This window comes from Homo sapiens, chromosome 17 (assembly GCF_000001405.40).
Source record: "Homo sapiens chromosome 17, GRCh38.p14 Primary Assembly".
Lineage (NCBI taxonomy): Eukaryota > Metazoa > Chordata > Mammalia > Primates > Hominidae > Homo > Homo sapiens.
This window is the reverse complement of record NC_000017.11, coordinates 1,516,661-1,536,197: the sequence shown is the minus strand read 5'-3', so window position 1 is coordinate 1,536,197 and position 19,537 is coordinate 1,516,661. Positions and strand designations below refer to the sequence as shown.

General features: G+C 49.1%; 1 protein-coding gene and 1 long non-coding RNA gene across 3 annotated transcripts in view, besides 2 other annotated features; one reads left to right on the top strand and one right to left on the bottom strand.

Moving 5' to 3' along the window:
- PITPNA (phosphatidylinositol transfer protein alpha) overlaps nucleotides 1-18,480 on the top strand; it is a 45,075-nt gene extending 26,595 nt beyond the window's left edge. For both annotated transcript variants that reach the window (NM_006224.4, XM_047436299.1), the window contains exons 8-12: nucleotides 680-757; nucleotides 906-1,016; nucleotides 1,977-2,099; nucleotides 14,553-14,619; nucleotides 15,660-18,480. In NM_006224.4, the coding sequence (NP_006215.1) occupies nucleotides 680-757; nucleotides 906-1,016; nucleotides 1,977-2,099; nucleotides 14,553-14,597 (357 nt within the window). In that variant the 3' untranslated portion in view covers nucleotides 14,598-14,619; nucleotides 15,660-18,480. The remainder of the gene's footprint in view (nucleotides 1-679; nucleotides 758-905; nucleotides 1,017-1,976; nucleotides 2,100-14,552; nucleotides 14,620-15,659) is intronic.
- Nucleotides 1,040-1,540: an enhancer, noted in NCBI's record as "H3K4me1 hESC enhancer chr17:1437952-1438452 (GRCh37/hg19 assembly coordinates)". NCBI's record gives its function as "activates a minimal SCP1, AML or CMV promoter by ChIP-STARR-seq in naive H9 embryonic stem cells {active_cell/tissue: H9 hESC(naive)}" and the evidence as "EXISTENCE:reporter gene assay evidence [ECO:0000049][PMID:30033119]".
- Nucleotides 18,102-19,279, bottom strand: PITPNA-AS1 (PITPNA antisense RNA 1). The gene is made up of 2 exons (NR_028514.1): nucleotides 19,105-19,279; nucleotides 18,102-18,480 (listed from the first exon to the last, which is right to left on the bottom strand). It is a non-coding gene; the product is annotated as a PITPNA antisense RNA 1 (long non-coding RNA).
- Nucleotides 19,201-19,500: a silencer, noted in NCBI's record as "silent region_7960". NCBI's record gives its function as "represses an Ori minimal core promoter by ATAC-STARR-seq in GM12878 lymphoblastoid cells {active_cell/tissue: GM12878}" and the evidence as "EXISTENCE:reporter gene assay evidence [ECO:0000049][PMID:35858748]".

The window sequence follows — 19,537 nt, the reverse complement described above, 5'->3', positions numbered from 1 at the left end:
ATCTCCTGAGCCCACATTAGTCAATGTAGAGGGACAGCTGAAAATTAAACTTTTGTTGTGGTTAATTAACACAGGAAATTGACTGCATTATAAATCTGTGAAGTGAGACTCACCAGTAGTGGATAGGTTCCATACACTGAACATTTCCAGTAATGATTTTGTTAAAACAAGCCAGAGGGAGATTGCACTGGAAGATTTAAGGAATGACAGCCGGGTATTCTGAGCGCTGGCTGTATTTTAGAGTCACTTGCAGAGATTTAAAAAAACAAAAAACAAATCTGTGCTGCCGTCACCTGCAGATATTCTCAGTCACTGGGTTTTAGTTGGAGTGACTCAAAAATCTGTGTTTTAAAAAGGTCTTCCCTGGTGATCTGGATGCTCACCCCAGGTTGAAAGTCTCTGTCTTCAACACGGTAAATATGTGCCTGCTCAGACAGTCTGGTGATACTTTCACACTGGCAAAATGGAAAACAAACCCTATCGGAGAAAATCACATAGAACTCTCCTCTGAGGCTAATGTAAACAGTTCTACATCTTGTTTATAACATTTTCCCATATTTGCTTTGTGCCATCAGCATCAAGATCTGGTATGGAGTGAATGCTAATGAAAGATCTGTTCTCCCCATCTCTCACTCCCTCTCCCACTCCCCTCCAACCCCAATTCCACAATTTCTCTCAGGATTACAAGGCAGAGGAAGACCCAGCAAAATTTAAATCTATCAAAACAGGCCGAGGACCCTTGGGCCCCAATTGGAAGGTACCATTCACACCTTCACTGCCAGGGGGCTGGGCAGCATGTGGGTGGGCCGCTCCCTGTGGAGGAGGGGCATGGCTGGGGTGAGCTGGGGACGGCCTGAGGTCTGCCCGTTGTTACTTGCGTACCCATGGGTATGTTTCTAATGCAGCAAGAGCTTGTAAACCAGAAGGACTGCCCATATATGTGTGCATACAAACTGGTGACCGTCAAGTTCAAGTGGTGGGGCCTGCAGAACAAAGTGGAGAACTTCATCCATAAGGTAAGTAGCTCGGCTGAGGCCTTCCCAGTGACTGCGTGTGTGTGTTGTGGGGGGGTGGTGGAGAACTTCATCCATAAGGTGAGTAGCTCGGCTGAGGCCTTCCCAGTGACTGCGTGTGTGTGCGGTGGGGGGTGGTGGAGAACTTCATCCATAAGGTAAGTAGCTCGGCTGAGGCCTTCCCAGTGACTGCGTGTGTGTGCGGTGGGGGGTGTTTGGCCCAGTGAAGAAGATGGCCCAGCCCATGTGGCCTGCATGACAGGGTTGCCAACATGAGCATACCTCACAGTTTGGCGGCTTCCCAGCTGCCCACCTTCCCTTGCACTGAAATGTCTTACGGTTTAATGCTGTCCTTCCAGGGACACCACATGTGACAGGGAAGGAAACTGAGGCAAAAGAAGGCCACAGGAAGGGACTTGCTATGACTGACCTACAGATAAAACTCAGTCTTTCTTTTCTTGCAGCTGAAAGGCAAGAGGTGCTGGGAGCCAGGTTGGCCGGTGCCCTGAATTACTCTGCTGGGCAGGTCTAAGGAGTTTTAGAGCCTTTTAATCCTCCGACATGTTTGAGCCTCACTTGGGCCATATTTCATAGCTGCTGGCCAGTTTTAATCTGGCATTAGACACCAGAGACAGGAAGAAATGTGGCAGTGGTTTGGGGCCCTTGGCTTGCCTAGGAGTTCATGGGCTGCTGTCTTGCTGGTGCTTTGGGCAGAGGGCCTAGTGTGAGGTAGGCATCCTTCTTTCTTGGGGGCTCCCTCCTATGTGAAGCCATACCTGTTAGACACGTGAAGGCAAAGGTCATTGACCCATGGCTGGTCCAGATAACCAGCCGGGCATTACTCCTCCTCCTGTCCGCCCGTCCCCAGTCTAGTGTGGGTATTCGTGTGGAGTGCATGGAGAGAAGGGCTGTGGCAGCAGCCTTTGCCTTCTGCGTTCTAACGTGGTTCCCTCCTTTCTATAGCAAGAGAGGCGTCTGTTTACAAACTTCCACAGGCAGCTGTTCTGTTGGCTCGATAAGTGGGTTGACCTGACCATGGACGACATTCGAAGGATGGAAGAAGAGACGAAGAGACAGCTGGATGAAGTAAGTGGGGGCTCTGGGGGCTCTCAATTAGATAAACAAACGAAGATTAAGGAGACTGTTTTGCTGGGGCGCTTCACCGAGAGCACCATCCTGTAGTTCTGGGAACACGTCAGTGTCTGCTACAGGGACGGTATCCTGGGCAGTACGTGGGCACTATACGGAAGAAAACAGCCTGTGCTCTTGAATTGACAGTTGAGTTGAAGTCTTGGCATACCCACAGAGACAAAAATGGCAGTATGTGCCGAATGCCAAGTGGGTAATACAGCTGCTACAGCGATGCTTCAGAGCCTGGTGGGAAAGAGCGTGCGGGGCTGCAGAGCTGGAGGTGACCCTGGGAGGAGGCAGGCTGGGCTGACCTGTGAATACCATGCACATTACCCACAGAGGACAGCCACAGCGCACGCAGGAGCTGACAGCTGGCGGCTGTCTACGGTCATTTTGAGCTATCAGAGTTGAGAGCTTTTGCTTTTCTTTTTTTGGTCTTGGCGTGGATCGCAGAAGGAGGGTTCCCTGTTCCTTAGGAGCCTAAAGACCCAGCACTTCTCATGCCTCATTTGGAGATGCTGATGCTTCCTTGAGAGGCCCACTCAGAGGAGATTGTCAGTTAGTAACATTCAAGCACTCACTGTGTGCCGTCTACCATTCTGAGGGCCTTTACCTACTGCAGTCTTCACGATACCCCATGAGGAGGCGCTGCTGCTCTCCCTACCCTCAGATGAGGAAGTGGAGGCTCTGAGAGCTCAATGCTGCGGTGCTCTGGGTCACACCGTCTTGCAGGTGATATGGTCAGAGTAAGAGCCCAGGACTCTCTGGCCCTGGAACCACAGCTCTTAATCACTCCCCTGTACTCCTCCCTCTAAATGCAATTTTGGGCCCTCCTGCCATCTTGGAGCTAAAAATATGATAAGGCAGGAAGCTCTGTTTCATAAGAACTGCCATCACTTCTCCCTCCTTGCCCCAGGTGGGGTTGGCATGGAGTTTGGGTATCCAGTAGAGGCATTGCTTTGCAACAGCCCACTCAGCTCTCCTGCAGGGCCTCAGGTGAGAGCCAGGCTTGGGCGCCCATGCTGCCCATGCTGCACGGACGGTGTCTGCTTCACCATGCTGGTCTAGGGCGAAAATTGGGTCCAGAAGTTCTTCCTCTGGAACCCCGCAGGGAACTGTTTTTACCATCCAGAATGACACTTTTCCTGGGCTGACTCACTGGTAAGTGGTGCACTGAGTTGGTTCCTCTTGAAGACAGATGTTTTGGTTATTCATTTAGCTACATTTAGCAGGGAAGTGGCAGGATTTCATTGGGGCACAGTCCCTGATTCTTTCGCTAAGGATCTTTAGGAAGGGGTAGACCTCAGTGTCCAGGGGTCTGGTGATTGTGACTGTGTAAGAGAAGCCTGAGGCTTTTGGTCACCCTAGTCCTGACAAAAAGAAAGGGAAAATGTTAACAAATGAGGAAACATGGAGACTTTCATTGGAGTTTTAGCCTGGAGCTTCAGCCATCCACTGCCTGACAAAGGCCAGCATGACGTATGTTGGGGTTCGTGGAAGTATTTGCTGTCCACCTTTCATTCCTTCGGGTAGAACTCAAATTCTTGGAGCTAGAAGAACTCTCCAGAGGATCTACTGGATCTGCTTTGTTCAGATCCAAACTTTGAGAGCCCTCAGTGTTAGAGAGTTATTTTTTAATCTCTCAGACCCTTTTGAAAATCTTTCTCGGCCAGGCACGGTGGCTCACACCTGTAATCCCAGCACTTTGGGAGGCTAAGGTGGGCAGATCACGAGGTCAGGAGTCTGAGACCAACTTGGCCAACATGGTGAAACCCTGTCTCTACTAAAAATAAAAAAAATTAGCCAGGCGTGGTGGCGGACACCTGTAATCCCAGCTGCTCAGGAGGCTGAGGCAGGAGAATCGCTTGAACCCAGGAGGCAGAGGTTGCAGTGAGCAGAGATCATGCCATTGCACTCCAGCCTGGGCGACAGAGCAAGACTCCGTCTCAAGGAAAAAAAGAAAAAGAAAAGAAAATCTTTCTCCATTCCATGGAGAATCATGCCAAAAGCTTAGGTGATCACTGTCCTCCAGGATAACTGCAAATAGAAGAAACTCTCTTTGGAATTAGAATTTTAAAACTCATCTGCAGTGGGAGAGAAAGCAAGTCCACCTCATTGTGGTACATGTTGTGGTCTCTTCAGCAACTGTGCAGGACCTTTGTGTGCTGACTACGCTTGATGTGGCTTGCCTTTTTATTTTTTTGTCTATCTAAAAATATATGTTTCATCAAAGTTATATTTTGTAGTTTTAAAACTCAGCATCCCAGGATTATGAGTCCCACCCCTCAGAAGCAGCCCCTTGTAATTCCGATGGTTGTTGCTTTTGTTAATTACTTCCATACTTTCAAATAATCTATGCTGATGCTCTTAGTAGTTCTTTTTTTTTTTTAAGAGGTGAGGTTGTGTTCTGTCACCCAAGCTGGAGTGCTTGGCGTCGTGCAGTGGCATGATCATAGCTCACTGCAGCCTCAAACTCCCAGGCTCAAAATCCTTTTAATTTTTCTTATTTATTTATTTTTTTTCTGAGACAGGCTCTCACTCTGTTGCCCAAGCTGGAGTGCAGTGGCACGATCTCGGCTCACTGCAAGCTCCACCTCCCTGGTTCACGCCATTCTCCTGCCTCAGCCTCCCCAGTAGCTGGGACTACAGGCGCCCGCTTGTACTCGGTAGTTACAGTGGGGGGAACCTCTACCTCAGGGTACTCGGTAGTTACATTCGGGGGCGGGAACCTCTACCTCAGGACTTCGAGTCTTTTTTTCACGGAGGCTTGTCACTTTCCCTATAGAGGACTCCCCTGTCTCTTGCTGTGGGAGACAGGCAGGCAGCCAGCATTCTGGAGGCCACACTGAGGAAGGGTCCCAGTGGGCTCATTGTGCCATTGATTCGCTTTAACTTTAATTCCGTCGTATTCTGCCTCTTGCCCACCTTCCCCCTAGCAGCACCTGGGGTCCTGAGGTCAGGGTTCCCTCAGCGCTTCAGAGAGTGAACCTCCTGGCTTTTGCTGTGAAGGAAAGGAGGGTGGTTGCTTGACTTCCAGAGCAGGAGAAGGGAACACCAGTTCCTAACCGTTCTCCATTTGGACTTTCAAAAAGTCACCAGTTTTGAGCCACACCTGGTACTCCCATCTGCAGCGGGACCTGGTGCTTCCAGTTCCTGAGCCTTTGCAGAACCTGCAGCTCCTTCTCCGCTCTCCATCCTCCAGGCACTTAGGTTCAGCTTTTGCTGCTCTGCAAATTAGCTACTGACTCTTCTGTCCTTTTTCCATCTCCCAAAAGGTTGTTAACTGGCTCTTACCTGCTGTGGTGTCCTCTGTTCCTGTTGTCTTCATAGTTTTTATCTTTTTAAATTCCTTTACTGTCATGTCATAGGGTTTGGGGGAGGAATAGAGATAGATGCCTGTCTTCCATGCACCGTGATGAACTGCACACTTGGAATAGGAATTATGACTGTTAGTCTCTAAGCCAGTACATAGTCGTCTAGTGCAGGCAGATTTTGTTTGTGAGTGATGAAGGGTCACTGCAAGGCCACAGTCATCACTGCTGTAACTCTAGTCCCTGTCCGGGCGGACCCACCATTCTTGAATGAGGCTTGAAGATTTGGGAAGCAAGGCATCGAGAGATTAGTTCTTCGCCCTAAAAAGAAAAAATTTCTGGAACTATGTGCCTGTAGGAAAGCAGTTTCTGTCTCTCTCTTTCTCCCCAACTTGCCTTTTTTCTCCCTTTCCCAAGCTCTTACTCTCTTAAGAGGCCCATAATCTGAAAAATGGAAGGAGGTATCTTAAAGGTCATTTGGTCCAATTATATGTTCAGTGCTTGAGTACTCTCTGAAGCTTCCCTACCAGCCTTTGCTTGATTACTGCCTGTAATGGGGAACTCACTGTCTCCCAAATATGGTAGTAATAAAAATATTTGTATTATTAATAGAAGCTAACATTTATTGAGGACTTCCTGTGTGCCTATCACGTATGCTAAGAGTTTCACATGTATTACATCACCCAGTTTTCATGGCAACCTGTAACACAGGTATTAGTTTCATTTTATAGATAAACTGTGGCTCACAGAAGTTGAGGACGTTTTATAATTCACTGAACAAGTACCTCTTGGCCTTTGGCCATTAACTCTTTAGATAATGAGATTCAGAAAAGAGAATTCACTTAAAAAATGTTAAGAAAACTTGTTTTCTTTTTTTTTTTTTCTTTTGAAACAGAGTCTCGCTCTGTCACCCAGGCTGGAGTACAGTGGTGCAATCTTGGCTCATTGCAACCTCCAACTCCCCAATTCAAGCAATTCTCATGTCACAGCCTCCTGAGTAGCTGGGACTACAGGTGCCCGCCACCACGCCTGGCTAATTTTTGTATTTTTAGTAGAGACAGGGTTTCCCCATGTTGCCCGGGCTGGTCTGGAACTCCTGAGCTCAGGTGACCCACCCGCCTCAGCCTCCCAAGGTGCTAGGATTACAGTTGTGAGCCACTGTGCCCAGCCAAGAATCTAAAATTTTATTTTATTTTTTTTGAGACAGAACCTTGCTGTGTCACCCAGGCTGGAGTGGAGTGGCGCCAGGCTGGAGTGCACTGGCACAATGTCAGCTCACAGCAACCTCCACCTCCCAGGTTCTAGCAATTCTCCTGCCTCAGCCTCCCAAGTAGCTGGGACTAGAGGCGCCCGCCACTACACGCCACTAATTTTCTATTTTTAATAGAGAGGGGGTTTCACCATGTTGGCCAGACTAGTCTCGAACTCCTGAGCTCAGGCAATGCACCTGCCTCGGCCTCCCAAAGTGCTGGGATTACAGGCATGAGCCACCATGCCCAGCCTCTAAAACTTTCATAGGAGCTGCAGAGGCTGCAGGATCCCTATATGTGAAGGATGACACTGCCCTCATGGAGTCTCTCTCTCTCTTTTTTTTTTTTTTTTTTTGAGATGGAGTCTTGCTCTGTCGCCCAGGCTGGACTGCAGTGGCGCAATCTCGGCTCACTGCAACCTCTGCCTCCCGGGTTCACACCATTCTCCTGCCTCAGCCTCCCAAGTAGCTGGGATTACAGGTGTGCGCCACCACGCCCAGCTAATTTTTGTATTTTTAGTAGAGATGGGGTTTCACCATGTTGGCCAGGATGGTCTTGAACTCCTGACCTCAGGTGATCCGCCTGCCTCGGCCTCCCAAAGTGTTGGGATTACAGGTGTGAGCCACCATGCCCAGCCACTCAGGGAGTCTTAATTCCCTCCAACCTGCTGGCAGTGATTGCAGACCATCTGGAACATCAGCCAACATCCCCAATTATGGAAGTAGCTTTGTTTTCTTTTCTTTTTTTTTTTTTTAAGAGAGACAGTCTCGCTCTGTGGCCTAGGCTAGAGTGCAGTGCTGTGATCATAGCTCACTGCAGCCTTCAACTTCTGGGCTCAAGTGATCCTCCCACGTTAAGCTCCTAAGTAGCTAGGACTTCAGGTCCCACCACTACACCTGACTAATTTTTTTAGAGACAAGATCTCAATATGTTGCTCAGGCTGGTCTTGAATTACTGGTCTCAAGTGATCCTCCCACCTTGGTTTCCCAAAGTGCTGGGATTACCATCATGAGCCACTATACCTGGCCCTGTTTTCTTTTTAAATACAGTTTAAGGCACGGTGGCTCAAAAGCCTGTAATCCTAGCACTTTGGGAGGCTAAAGTTGGGCTGATCACCTGAGGTCAGAAGTTCCAGACCAGCCTGGCCAACATGGAGAAACCCCGTCTCTACTAAAAATACAAAAATCAGCCAGGTGTGGTGGTGTGTGCCTGTAATCCCAGCTACTTGGGAGGCTGAGACAGGAGAATCGCTTGAATCCAGGAGGCAGAAATGGTAGTGAGCCGAGATCATGCTGCTGCACTGTCCAGCCTTGGCGACAGAACAAGACAGGGTCTCACACTGTTGCCTAGGCTGGAGTATGGCAGCCTGAAACGCTTGGATTCAACTGATCCACCCACCTCAGCCTCCCAAGTAGCTGGGACTACAGGTGCAGGCCACCACGCCTACCTAATTTTTAAAATTTTTTTAATTTTTGTAGAGACAGGATCTTGCTATGTTGTCCAGGCTGGTCTCAAACTCCCAGCCACAAGTGATCCTTCCACCTCAGCCTCCCGAAGTGTTGGGATTGTAGGCGTGGGCCAACACACCCAGCCAGCTTCATTTCTGCACCGAACCTTTTATTTTGAAATGATTGAAAGATTCACTTGCAGTTATAAAAAATAACGTGGAAAGATCTATGTACCCTTTACCCAGTTTTTGCCAATGGTAACATCTTGCAAAACTATAGTACAATGTAATAACTCGGATATTAACATTGACACTTTACTATTTTTTTAGATCAAAGGTGTATTTCATACTTAATGGTCAAAATGATTTTCAAAAGATAGAAAAAAAATTTAAAAATAGAAGTCCAAATAACTAATAGGTGAATACATAAATAAAAGTCTTCTTGTTTCAGCCCCTGGCCTCATTCCCTAAAGGAAACCACTGTTAAAAACAAAAACAAACCAGGGCTGGGCACGGTGGCTCACACCTGTAATCCCAGCACTTTGGGAGGCCGAGGCGGGTGGATCACCTGAGCTTGGGAGTTTGAGACAGCCTGAGTAACATGGAGAAACCCCATCTACTAAAAATACAAGAAATTAGCCAGGCGTGGTGGTGCACGCCTGCAATCCCAGCTACTCGGGAGGCTGAGGCAGGAGAATCACTTGAACCCAGGAGGCAGAGATTGCGGTGAGCTGAGATCGCACCATTGTACTCCAGCCTGGGCAACAGAGCGAAACTCTATCTCAAAACAAACCAACCAACCAGGATTGAAGTTTCTATTTTCCTATTTTCACATACACATTTTCTTCAGCCATATTATATGTGTATGTATAGCCTACATTGGCTAAATCTGAGGAACACCACAAACATCAGATAAATCTCTCATGTCGTGTAGGCCCCAGGAAACAGGAAATAAGCATTCTTAGATCATTGTAAGACTGAAGTAATGGGCTGGGTGCGATGGCTCACACCTGTAATCCCAGCACTTTGGGAGGCTGAGGCAGGTGGATCATCTGAGGTCAGGAGTTCGAGACCAGCCTGGCCAAGATGGTGAAACCCCATCTACTAAAAATACAAAAATTAGCTGGATGTGGTGCACCTCTAATCCCAGCTACTTAGGAGGCTGAGACAGGAGAATCACTTGAACCCGGGAGGCAGAGGTTGCAGTGAGCCAACATCATGCCACTGTGTTCTAGCCTGGGTGACAGAGCAAGACTCCGTCTCAAAAAACAAACAAAAAAAGATTGAAGTAATGAATTTTATTTCAGTGGTATGGGGAACCTTGTTTCTGACAGTAGGGGAAGCTATCATGTTCCTGGTAGGAGGTTGCATCTTATTTCAAGCGGTGGGAAAACAGGACCTGGCTTTGCATTAGTAACTGAAGCCAGGTGGTGAACTCTCAGCATGTGTAAGGAGCCGGCTGAGAAGGAGCTTTGCTCCCATGATATTAAATTATCTGATTATTGAAAACTTTTGTAAATGGTCATTAGTGAGCAAATTGTCTTTTTAAAAATTCTATTATGAAAGAGTTTTAAACTTAACAGAAAATAGGCAAGAACAGTGCCAAGAACTCCTGTACACTCCTTTGCCCAGAGACTATTCCTTTAGAGCAAAGGCTACAGCCCAGAATCACGCGCTTCACCCCATTCATCACAGCTCTCCTTTCTGTCCATCTGGTGCCACTCCTCAGTTTTCCTGAACTTCCGCGATTTTGGCGTTTGTGGAGGTTATAGGCTGATCATTTTGTAGAATGTCTTTCAATGTGGATTCGTTGATGTTTCTGCATGATTAGACCCCACCTGTGTGTACTTGAAGCCTGAATGTCACAGACTCTGTTCTTTTTATCCTATTCTGTGTCTTTCTGTCCAGTTACTGGTGAGGTTACTGCTGTCGCCTTGAAGCACAAGGTGTTCTGGGTTTGTCTTGTTTTTTCATGACCCTGTAACTGGCCACATCTTCAAGGAGCGCTGCTTCCATATAGTGGAGGGGGGTGTTTGGAAATGAGATCTGGTTGCTGGTGTGCCTATTTCCACTAGGGTATTGCAGCTCCCAGACCTTCTCATAGGATAGAGCTAGGGGACTTGTACATTTATAGTTATTTCTGTATCTGCGTCATATATCATGTTCACACAAATGCATCTAATTCCAATCTAACATCACAGAGTTGTCTTTTAAAAATATGACAAGCTGGCCATGCGTGATGGCTCACGCCTGTCATCCCAGCACTTTGGGAGGCCAAGGCAGGCGGATCACCTGAGGTTGGGAGTTTAAGACCAGCCTGGCCAACATGGAGAAACCTCGTCTCTACTAAAAATAGAAAATTAGCCAGGCATGGTGGCACATGCCTGTAATCCCAGCTACTCGGGAGTTTGAGGCAGGAGAATCGCCTGAACCCGGGAGGTGGAGGGTGCAGTGAGCCAAGATCGTGCCACTGCACTCTAGCCTGGGCGACAGAGCGACAGAGTGAGACCTTGTCTCAAAAAAAAAAAAAAAAAAAAAAAAGTTTCCCAGTGGAGAACTACTGCCAGAGATAGAATCTCCACAAAATGTGGCAGTATTAAATTTTCAGTGACTAGAATACAATTCTGAAGTGGGCTATGGCTTAAAATTCCAGGTTCTTCAGAGCTTCTATACACATCTCCTTTGCTATAGGACAGTGTCTGGAACGAAAGAATAAAATAAACAACATTTGAAACAGGGTCTCAAATAATTTTTTATTGGCCGGGTGTGGTGGCTCATGTTTGTAATCCCAGCACTTTGGGAGGCTGAGGCGGGCGGATCATGAGGTCAGAAGTTTGAGACCAGCCTGACCAACATGGTGAAACCCCGTCTGTACTAAAAATACAAAAATTAGCCAGGCGTGGTGGTGTGCACTTGTAATCCCAGCTACTCAGGAGGCTGAGGCAGAAGAATCGCTTGAACCCAGGAGGCAGAGGTTGCAGTGAGTCGAGATGGTGCCTCTGCACTCCAGCCTGGGTGACAGAGCGAGACTCTGTCTCAAAAACAATAATAATTTTGTATTCTATAACATAAACAGCATTTGGAACCGCGTCTCCAGTAATTTTCATCTCTACACAGGCCCCGAATACTCAGTGCATACTCCACGTCAGGCACTCTGCTCTGCTAAGTACACGAAAACCTCTTTTTTTTTCTTTTTTGAGATGGAGTCTCGCTCTGTCGCCCAGGCTGGAGTGCAGCGGTGCCATCTCAGCTCACTGCAAGCTCCACCTCCCGGGTTCAAACGATTCTCCTGCCTCAGCCTCCCAAGTAGCTGGGATTACAGGTGCCTGCCACAATGCCCAGATAATATTTTTTGTATTTTTAGTAGAGATGGGGTTTCACCATGCTGGCCAGGCTGGTCTTGAACTCCTGACCGCACATCTTAAATCTTCATCACAATCCTATGTACTGTTATCTCTATTTTATTATTATAGAAATTGGGGCTTAGGCCATACCCAGTGGCTCAAACCTGTAATCTAAGCACTTTGGGAAGCTGAGGTGGGTGGATTGCTCGAGTCCAGGAGTGTGAGACCAGCCTGGGCAGCATGGCAAAACTCTCTCTCTACAAAAAATACAAAAATTAGCCTTGCATGGTGATCGCACCACTGCACTCCAGCCTGAGTGACACAGTGAGACCCTGTCTCAAAAAAAAAAAAAAAAAAAGGCCAGGTGCGATGGCTCACGCCTGTAATCCCAGCACTTTGGGAGGCCAAGGCGGGCGGATCATGAGGTCAGGACATGGAGACCATCCTGGCTAACATGGTGAAACCCCGTCTCTACTAAAAACACAAAAAATTAGCCGGGCGTGTTGGTGGGCACCTATAGTCTCAGCTACTCGGGAGGCTGAGGCAGGAGAATGGCGTGAACCCAGGAGGCAGAGCTTGCAGTGAGCCAAGATCGTGCCACTGCACACCAGCCTGGGTGACTGAGCGAGACTCCGTCTCAAAAAAAAAAAAAAAAAGAAAAAAGAAAAAAACTGAGGCTTAGAGAGCATTGCAGTAACTTACTCAAGGTCATACAATTAGTGATGGAGTCAGAATACAATCCAGGCCAGGTGCAGTGGCTCATTCCTGTAATCCCAGCACTTTGGGAGGCCATGGCGGGAGGACTACTTAAGTCCAGGGGTTCGAGACTAGCCTGGGCAATACAATGAGACCCTGTCCCCACACACACCGAAAAAATAAAAAATCAGCCAGGTGGCTGGGTGCAGTGGCTCACGCCTGTAATCCCAGCACTTTGGGAGGCTGAGGCAGGCAGATCGTGAGGTTAGGAGATTGAGATCATCCTGACCAACATGGTGAAACCCCGTCCCTATTAAAATACAAAAAAAAATTAGCCAGGCATGGTGGCGTGTGCCTATAGTCCCAGCTACTGGGGAGGCTGAGGCAGGGGAATTGCTTGAACCCGGGAGGCAGAGATTGCAGTGAGCCGAGATCACACCACTGCCATCCAGCCTGGCGACAGAGAGAGAGACTGTGTCTCAAAAAAAAAAAAAAAAAAAGCCAGGCGTGGTGGCACATGCCTGTAGTCCCAGCTTCTTGGGATGCTGAGGCAGGAGGATCACTTGAGCCAGGGAGTCGAGGCTGTAGTGAGCCATGATTGCGCCACTGCACTCCATCCTGGGCAACAGAGCCAGACCCTGTCTCAAACAAAACAATACAGTCTAGGGAGTTTCATTCTAGCAGCTATGCTCTTAGGTGCTCAAAATTTGTTGAACATTATAAAGAACAAAAGTTGAGCAGAAAACTAATGGATAGTGAAGAAATACTTATTGACATTCTTCACATAGAATGGAGTTTTCAAATCAGAACTGATTTTAGAGAGATGACGTCTACAGTATCCCCAGTGATGTCTGCCTGGAAGGTGCCAGTGACAGGGACCACTTGGTGCTTCCACAGAAGCCCCCATCCTGTTTTCCAGCAGCCTTGCACATCTGTGGATCTGAGACCTGCACCTGCACTTTCCACCTCTGCATCCTTGTGCCTAGTTCTGACACCACATTGTGCCCACCTTTAAACAGGTCAGGAAAGGGAAGTTCTGTTACTCTGCCGGGAACTCCTCTCCCGGAGAGCCACAGGATTTTCTCCCTCATTTCTCTCAGGTTTCATCTCAAACCTCACATACAAGCTTCTGTAACTACCTAAAATAGCACTTACCCACAGTCATTCTGTATCCGAGCAGCCCACAGTCCTAGCTGACATAGATGAATGTTTGTTCTCTGCCCATCCTGCCCCAGAATATAAGCTCCTTGAGGAGAGAACTGGTCTGTTTAGTTCACAGCTAAATATTCCCAGCCCTCTGGAAGTCCCTAGCACTAAAGAGATGCCTCACTGAGGCTGGGTGCGGTGGCTCACGCCTGTAATCCAAGCACTTCAGGAGGCCAAGGCAGGCAGATCATCTGAGGTCAGGAGTTCAAGATCAGCCTGGCCAAAATGGTGAAACCCCGTCTCCCCTAAAAATACAAAAATTAGCTGGGCGTGATGGTGCATACCTGCAATCCCAGCTACTTGGGAGGCTGAAGCAGGACAATCGCTTGAATCCAGGAGGCAGAGGTTGCAGTAAGCCAACTTTGCGCCACTGCACTCCAGCCTGGGCGACAGAGCAAGACTCCTCACACACACAAAAAAAGATGTTTCGGCCAGGCGCGGTGGCTCACGCCTGTAATCCCAGCACTTTGGGAGGCCGAGGCGGGTGGATCATGAGGTCAGGAGATCGAGACCATCCTGGCTAACAAGGTGAAACCCCGTCTCTACTAAAAATACAAAAAATTAGCCGGGCGCGGTGGCGGGCGCCTGTAGTCCCAGCTACTCGGGAGGCTGAGGCAGGAGAATGGCGTGAACCCGGGAAGCGGAGCTTGCAGTGAGCCGAGATTGCGCCACTGCAGTCCGCAGTCCGGCCTGGGCGGCAGAGCGAGACTCCGTCTCAAAAAAAAAAAGATGTTTCATAAGTATTTGTTGAATGAATAAATGAATGAAACGGGCCAAGTGTGGTGGCTCACACCTATGCTGTAATCCCAGCACTTTGGGAGGTTGAGGCAGAGGATCGTGTGAGGCCAGGAGCCCAAGACCAGCCTGGTCAACATAGGAAGACCCCCCCACACACACCTCTTTACCAAAAAAAAAAAAAAAAAAAAGGTGCTTCAAACACCGTGACACGAGAGAACTAGAAATCATGGATGGTGAGACCAGTGACACAGATCTGGAAATGTATGGCTTCGAGTCCATATGCAGAATTCTTCCGTCCTTCCAGTGTCTTGCTTTTTACACAAAATATGCCCCACCCCACCTATGGGCAGGACTGAGAAGGCAGGAGTTCCATCAGCAGCAGGAGCCTTCCATTTGTCCTGCTTTTTTTGTTCCAGATGAGACAAAAGGACCCAGTGAAAGGAATGACAGCAGATGACTAAAGCCGCCTTTCCCCTCTGCACTGTACGTACCAAATTTCTCACTGTGCGTGTCACAGACGCTAAAATCAGTTTGGGTTTCAAGGCCTCAGCAGCTCACTATGGAGTCAGAAAACCTATTCCTCCTTCCCTCTAGTAATGATGGTTGCCACGCTCGATAGCTCTCCACTTCCACTAGGAGATTATGGCCCTTGGGACATTTCAGGGACATTTTCCAAAGAACCACCCAGATAGAGACAATGGACAGGGAGGGGGTGGTGGATATAGAAGGGGAGTTCATCTGCTGCGAATCACTCCTCCTGTCTGCCAGCTTGATCCATCTCAAGTTGCAGCTGTCATGTTGGGCACTCCCTGGCCTTCCCACGCCAGCGCCAGCTCCCAAAAGCTGCCATTACCTGCCCTTCCCCCTTGGAAAACTTGCTGGCCAGACAGCTTTTGTTAGCACCCACTGTTGTCTGGTGCTTCATTTCCTTCTTTATACCCCCGATCCCATACTAAGCTGCCCTCATCAGAGGTGGCATCTTTCAGATGCTGGGAGGGTGTTTCTGCCCAGGTCACAGGGCCAGATTGGGGGCCCCTTGTTTCATGTTGTCACTTTTCCCCAAGCCCCCTCCTTCCGTTAACTCTCGGTGCTGGTTTCCCAGTGCCCTGTACACCACCCGAGTCATGGGATTCCAGCAGCTCAAAGCAGTCTTAATCACTGAATGAAAAACCTGGCTCTGCTCCCAATTAGCCTCAGAGAGAAAATTATTTTTACAAATAAAAGCTGGCCTCTAACCCTACGGGCAAGGAGGGCCAGGGTCTCACCAGGAGTGACGGCAGGCCCTGCTTACTCTCCCTGCCCCATGTTCCCAAAGCAGCCTCGGGGAGGCTGGAGGGTGGAATGAGGCGGACTGCTGTGATGCCAGCTTCTCAGTCACTGCTCTGGGCCTCAGTGCTCTCCCCCACTCCCTTCCCCACCCACCCACTGGCTTCCCTCCTCCTCTTGAAATTATCCATTCAGGACGATTTACAGTGTTTCTGTTTTCTCCTCTTGCTTCCTTAATACTTTCATTTTTCTTCTAGTTTTGCAAGACAGTGGTCAACAGGAAGACCCAGCAGCTCCACCCTCCCAAGTGACAGGCCATTTTCGGACGCAGCCGTTCTGTGCCCATTCTTCAGGCAACTTTCGATTCCTTACTGTAGCTAATTCTAGATGCCCTTCAGTATTGTGAACAAATAGACCGTCTGGTGTCACAGAGCCCGCGTGTGCAGGAGCCTGCTCCTCCGAGATACGTGGCGTGTAGGTTGCTGTAGTTACAGCGCCTCCGTCTCTCTCCATTGTGTTCCGATCCATTTCTGTGTGTTCCCCCAACCTTTATTTCCAAGTGACATTTTCAGTCTTTCAAATAGCTGCCTTTTGTGATGTGGTGATTTAAATGATTTAAGTTCATTTGTTCTCAACCTTGGGGTAAACTGAGGTATTTTGCTTCCTGGGAAGATCTTCGCAATTTTGAGTGCTCCTGTGGGGAGCGGGGATGAGCTAAAGATACAATGTTTCCCTGCCCCGCACCGCTTCCACAAAATAGCAATGTGGTTTTGCAGCTCTGACTTCTGCTCCCAGTAACCCATCGTTAGGGCACTCTAGCACTATGGAGGTACCCAAGGCTCAGCCAGTCTCTATTTAAGAAAATTTAACAAATACGAGTAACCCTGTCCCAATCACTGAATCTCTAGTTACTACTCTTAGAAACACCTGTGGCTTCTTGGCCCTCCTGTTGCCCGCTCTGAATCTCTCTGCAGTCTACAAAATCGCCCCAGTCAACTCTCCACTTGGAGGGAATTGTCCAGTGTGGCCCCTAGAATTGAGTCACCCCCTAGATACCAACTGTCTGACCCCGAGGAGCTCTGTAAGTCCCTGCTCCTCCTCTTCCCTTTGGGGCTGGTGCTGCCACTCAGCAATAATCCTCTTTTCTCTGTGCTTTCTTAGGTCCCTGTCCTCTGTCTTTGAGGCTGGTTAGGAAGCAAGAGTCCTGATCTTTCATGCTGCACAATATGAGCATGCAAAAAGCTTTTTCCAGCAGAACATGTTCCCTCGTCTCCAGTTGCCGGAAAGGAATTTGGGGATCAAGAACTTAGCTCGTCCTACCCCCATGTTGAGTTCTGCCCTGGAAAACCCAAAGCAAGTAGTGATCATAGTACAGAACCCGACCAAAGTAGGCTGGTGAGGAAGTCCAGGCTCCAGGGGAACAGACGCTGCCCAGTGTTCATAGCTTCCTGCAACTTGACAGAGCCTGAGTTTGCCTCTTAGTGGGAGAATGAGAGAGAGCTGTAGTGTCACCTGACATTCCCCAAACCTTGTGAAGCACGTTGGCCTAAGTGTGCCGTGATCCCAGCCCACACTAGCCTGGGTGCATCTGCTAATGGGAGACCAAATCTTTGTCCGGGAAGCAAGAAGTGGGTGGGAGAATGTATCCTGTTTTTGTCAGTTTGTTTGCCTTACTCATTTCTAAGTGCAATAAGGGAGTGTCTCACAGGATTGCACCTGTGACATCCTGATGGATGCTTCCCTGTGGCCCTCCTGGGGCAAGGGTGGACAGACTCAGACCCCCAGCATGGTTAGCGCTGACCTTCATTGAGGTCCCTTTGGAACCAGATGTCTTGTTACAGACACCTTCCTCTGTGTAAGTCTCCTCACCTTGAGGGGTCTTTAGTAATGCATCTGGGTAGCATCTCAACTGCTGGTAGCATTTATCTGACTTGGAAAGTTGGAGAAGAGGCATTCCTACTGGAGAAAAATGTCAGTGTTTTCCTATAAGCTCTGTGTTAGCTATTCATTATATTTGTGCTTAAAGATGTTCCTTCATTCATCAACTAGGGGAAGTCCAGATGCGGGTTATCTTGAAAGAAACAAACTGACATTCTAGGCAGACAGTTGTCTATGTGGTCTGAGGGTCAGCAGCTGTTAGTCTCCTTCCTTTGGCTCTTGAGACCCACACATATCACTTTAGCCCTAACAAGGGCTCCTCCCACCTCCACCTGTTGCCCCAGTTGAAAAGCATCCATTATGAGCTGAGGTCAGCCTGGATCTGGAATTGCAGCCCACATAAACATAAAGGAGGATGTCCCTGGTCTGTTCCATCCCCACGGATGGTGTTGCTGCTGGGCAACAGTGTTGGCTTCTTTTAAGTACCCCCTTTCCTCCTCACCCACCTCCAAACTGACTAGCACTCAGAGGGACTTATGATAAAGGTTCAGCTCCAGGGGTAGTACCTGAGTGTGTGCCATGCCCCTTCAGACCAGCTGCTTCCATCAGAATTCCAGGGTCACAGCCCCAACAGAAGCAGCAGTGCCTCTGTAGGAGGGGTGCTGGGCTCTGGCCTTCTCATGCAGAGAGGTCCGGGACAGGGTCAGTATCGTGGGCATGTGTATAGCTTCCCAAGTTCTTTTACAGTCCCTGCTGGGACTCCCTGACTTACTTTGGTTGGTTCCTAGTGCTACTTGTTTTACAAACTACACTTTGTAGAATTGATTAGATTACCTTGTTTATTTAATGTGAGTTTGTGCCTTTTTGTCTCAATCTTCCAATACAGGTATATTGAGAAAAAAAGCAGTCTAATAAAATCCTAGACAGAACTTTCTGGAGTCCAGTTTGGTGATGTCCATTTTCCAGCTGTATGTATCCTCAAACTTGCACTGATAACCGCCATTTTACCAGGGCAGGATTAGGAAGAGGTACAAAGGTGTGTCTGAAAATTTTTGCACGTGGATTTCTGCATATAATAGTCCCGTGTCAGTTTACTTATGCAAACATTGCACATCTGAATTGTAATTCGGCCGTTTCCTACTGACAGGATGTCCTTTTGCTTTTGTCTGCCTCCTCTTCACATCTTCCTCTTTATCCACCCTACCAAACAAGCAAAACATTTATTTAAAGTAGTTTTAGGCCGGGCGCGGTGGCTCACACCTGAAATCGCAGCACTCTGGGAGGCCGAGGCGGGTGGATCAGCTGAGGTCAGGAGTTCGAGACCAGCCTGACCAACATGGCGAAACCCCATCTCGGCTAATTATTATTATTATTTTTTTTTTTTGAAACGAAGTCTCGCTCTGTCGCGCAGGCTGGGGTGCAGTGGCGCAATCTCGGCTCACTGCAACCTCCACCTCCCGGGTTCAGGCGATTCTCCTGCCTCAGCCTCCCGAGTAGCTGGGATTAACAGGCGCGCGCTATCAAGCCCAGCTAGCTTTTGTGTTTTTAGCAGAGACGGGGTTTCACCATGTTAAGGCCAGGCTGGTCTTAAACTCCTGACCTCAAGTGAGCCGCCCGCCTCGGCCTCCCAAAGTGCTGGGATTACAGGCATTGAGCCACCGCGCCCCGGCCTACGTTTCATTTATTGACGGCTAATTCTGTAGGAGTCCAGGAATCCCCAAACGTCCCATATGCAATAGGTAATCCAATAAGTTTGGAGTAGAAGCCTGAAAGTGGGCGTGGAGAACGGAGGCGCTCCCGCAGTAGCAGGAATGGGGAGATTACCTGCAGCCGGGGGGCGGGGGAGACCGGATCCCAGGCAGGACAGTGGCTAGGCTGCGTGTCCCCACCCCCGACCCTCGTTTGACCCCTGGGAGCCGGGGCGAAGACAGCACAAGGACGGAGCCCTCGGATCCCTCACGAGTGGGGCAGAGGCTGCGGCGGCGGCGAAGAGACAACTTCCGCCGGAAGACGGCCCCTGGCGCGGGGCACGCTGGGAGCTGCGGACGGCGGGCGCGGGCTGGGCCGGGTCTAGTGGCGGCCGCACACCTCGCGTCGTCTGGGGCAGTGTTGCGCGTGCGCTGATGACAGGCCCGACACGCCCCTCTTACGTCCGCGAACCCGTCTTCGCTCAGCCTCTCGCAGCTTTGCGCTCGTGGGAGAGTCCCGCCTCCTTCTGCGAACCGCACCACCCAGATCCCGGGGTGCGCGGAGGGCG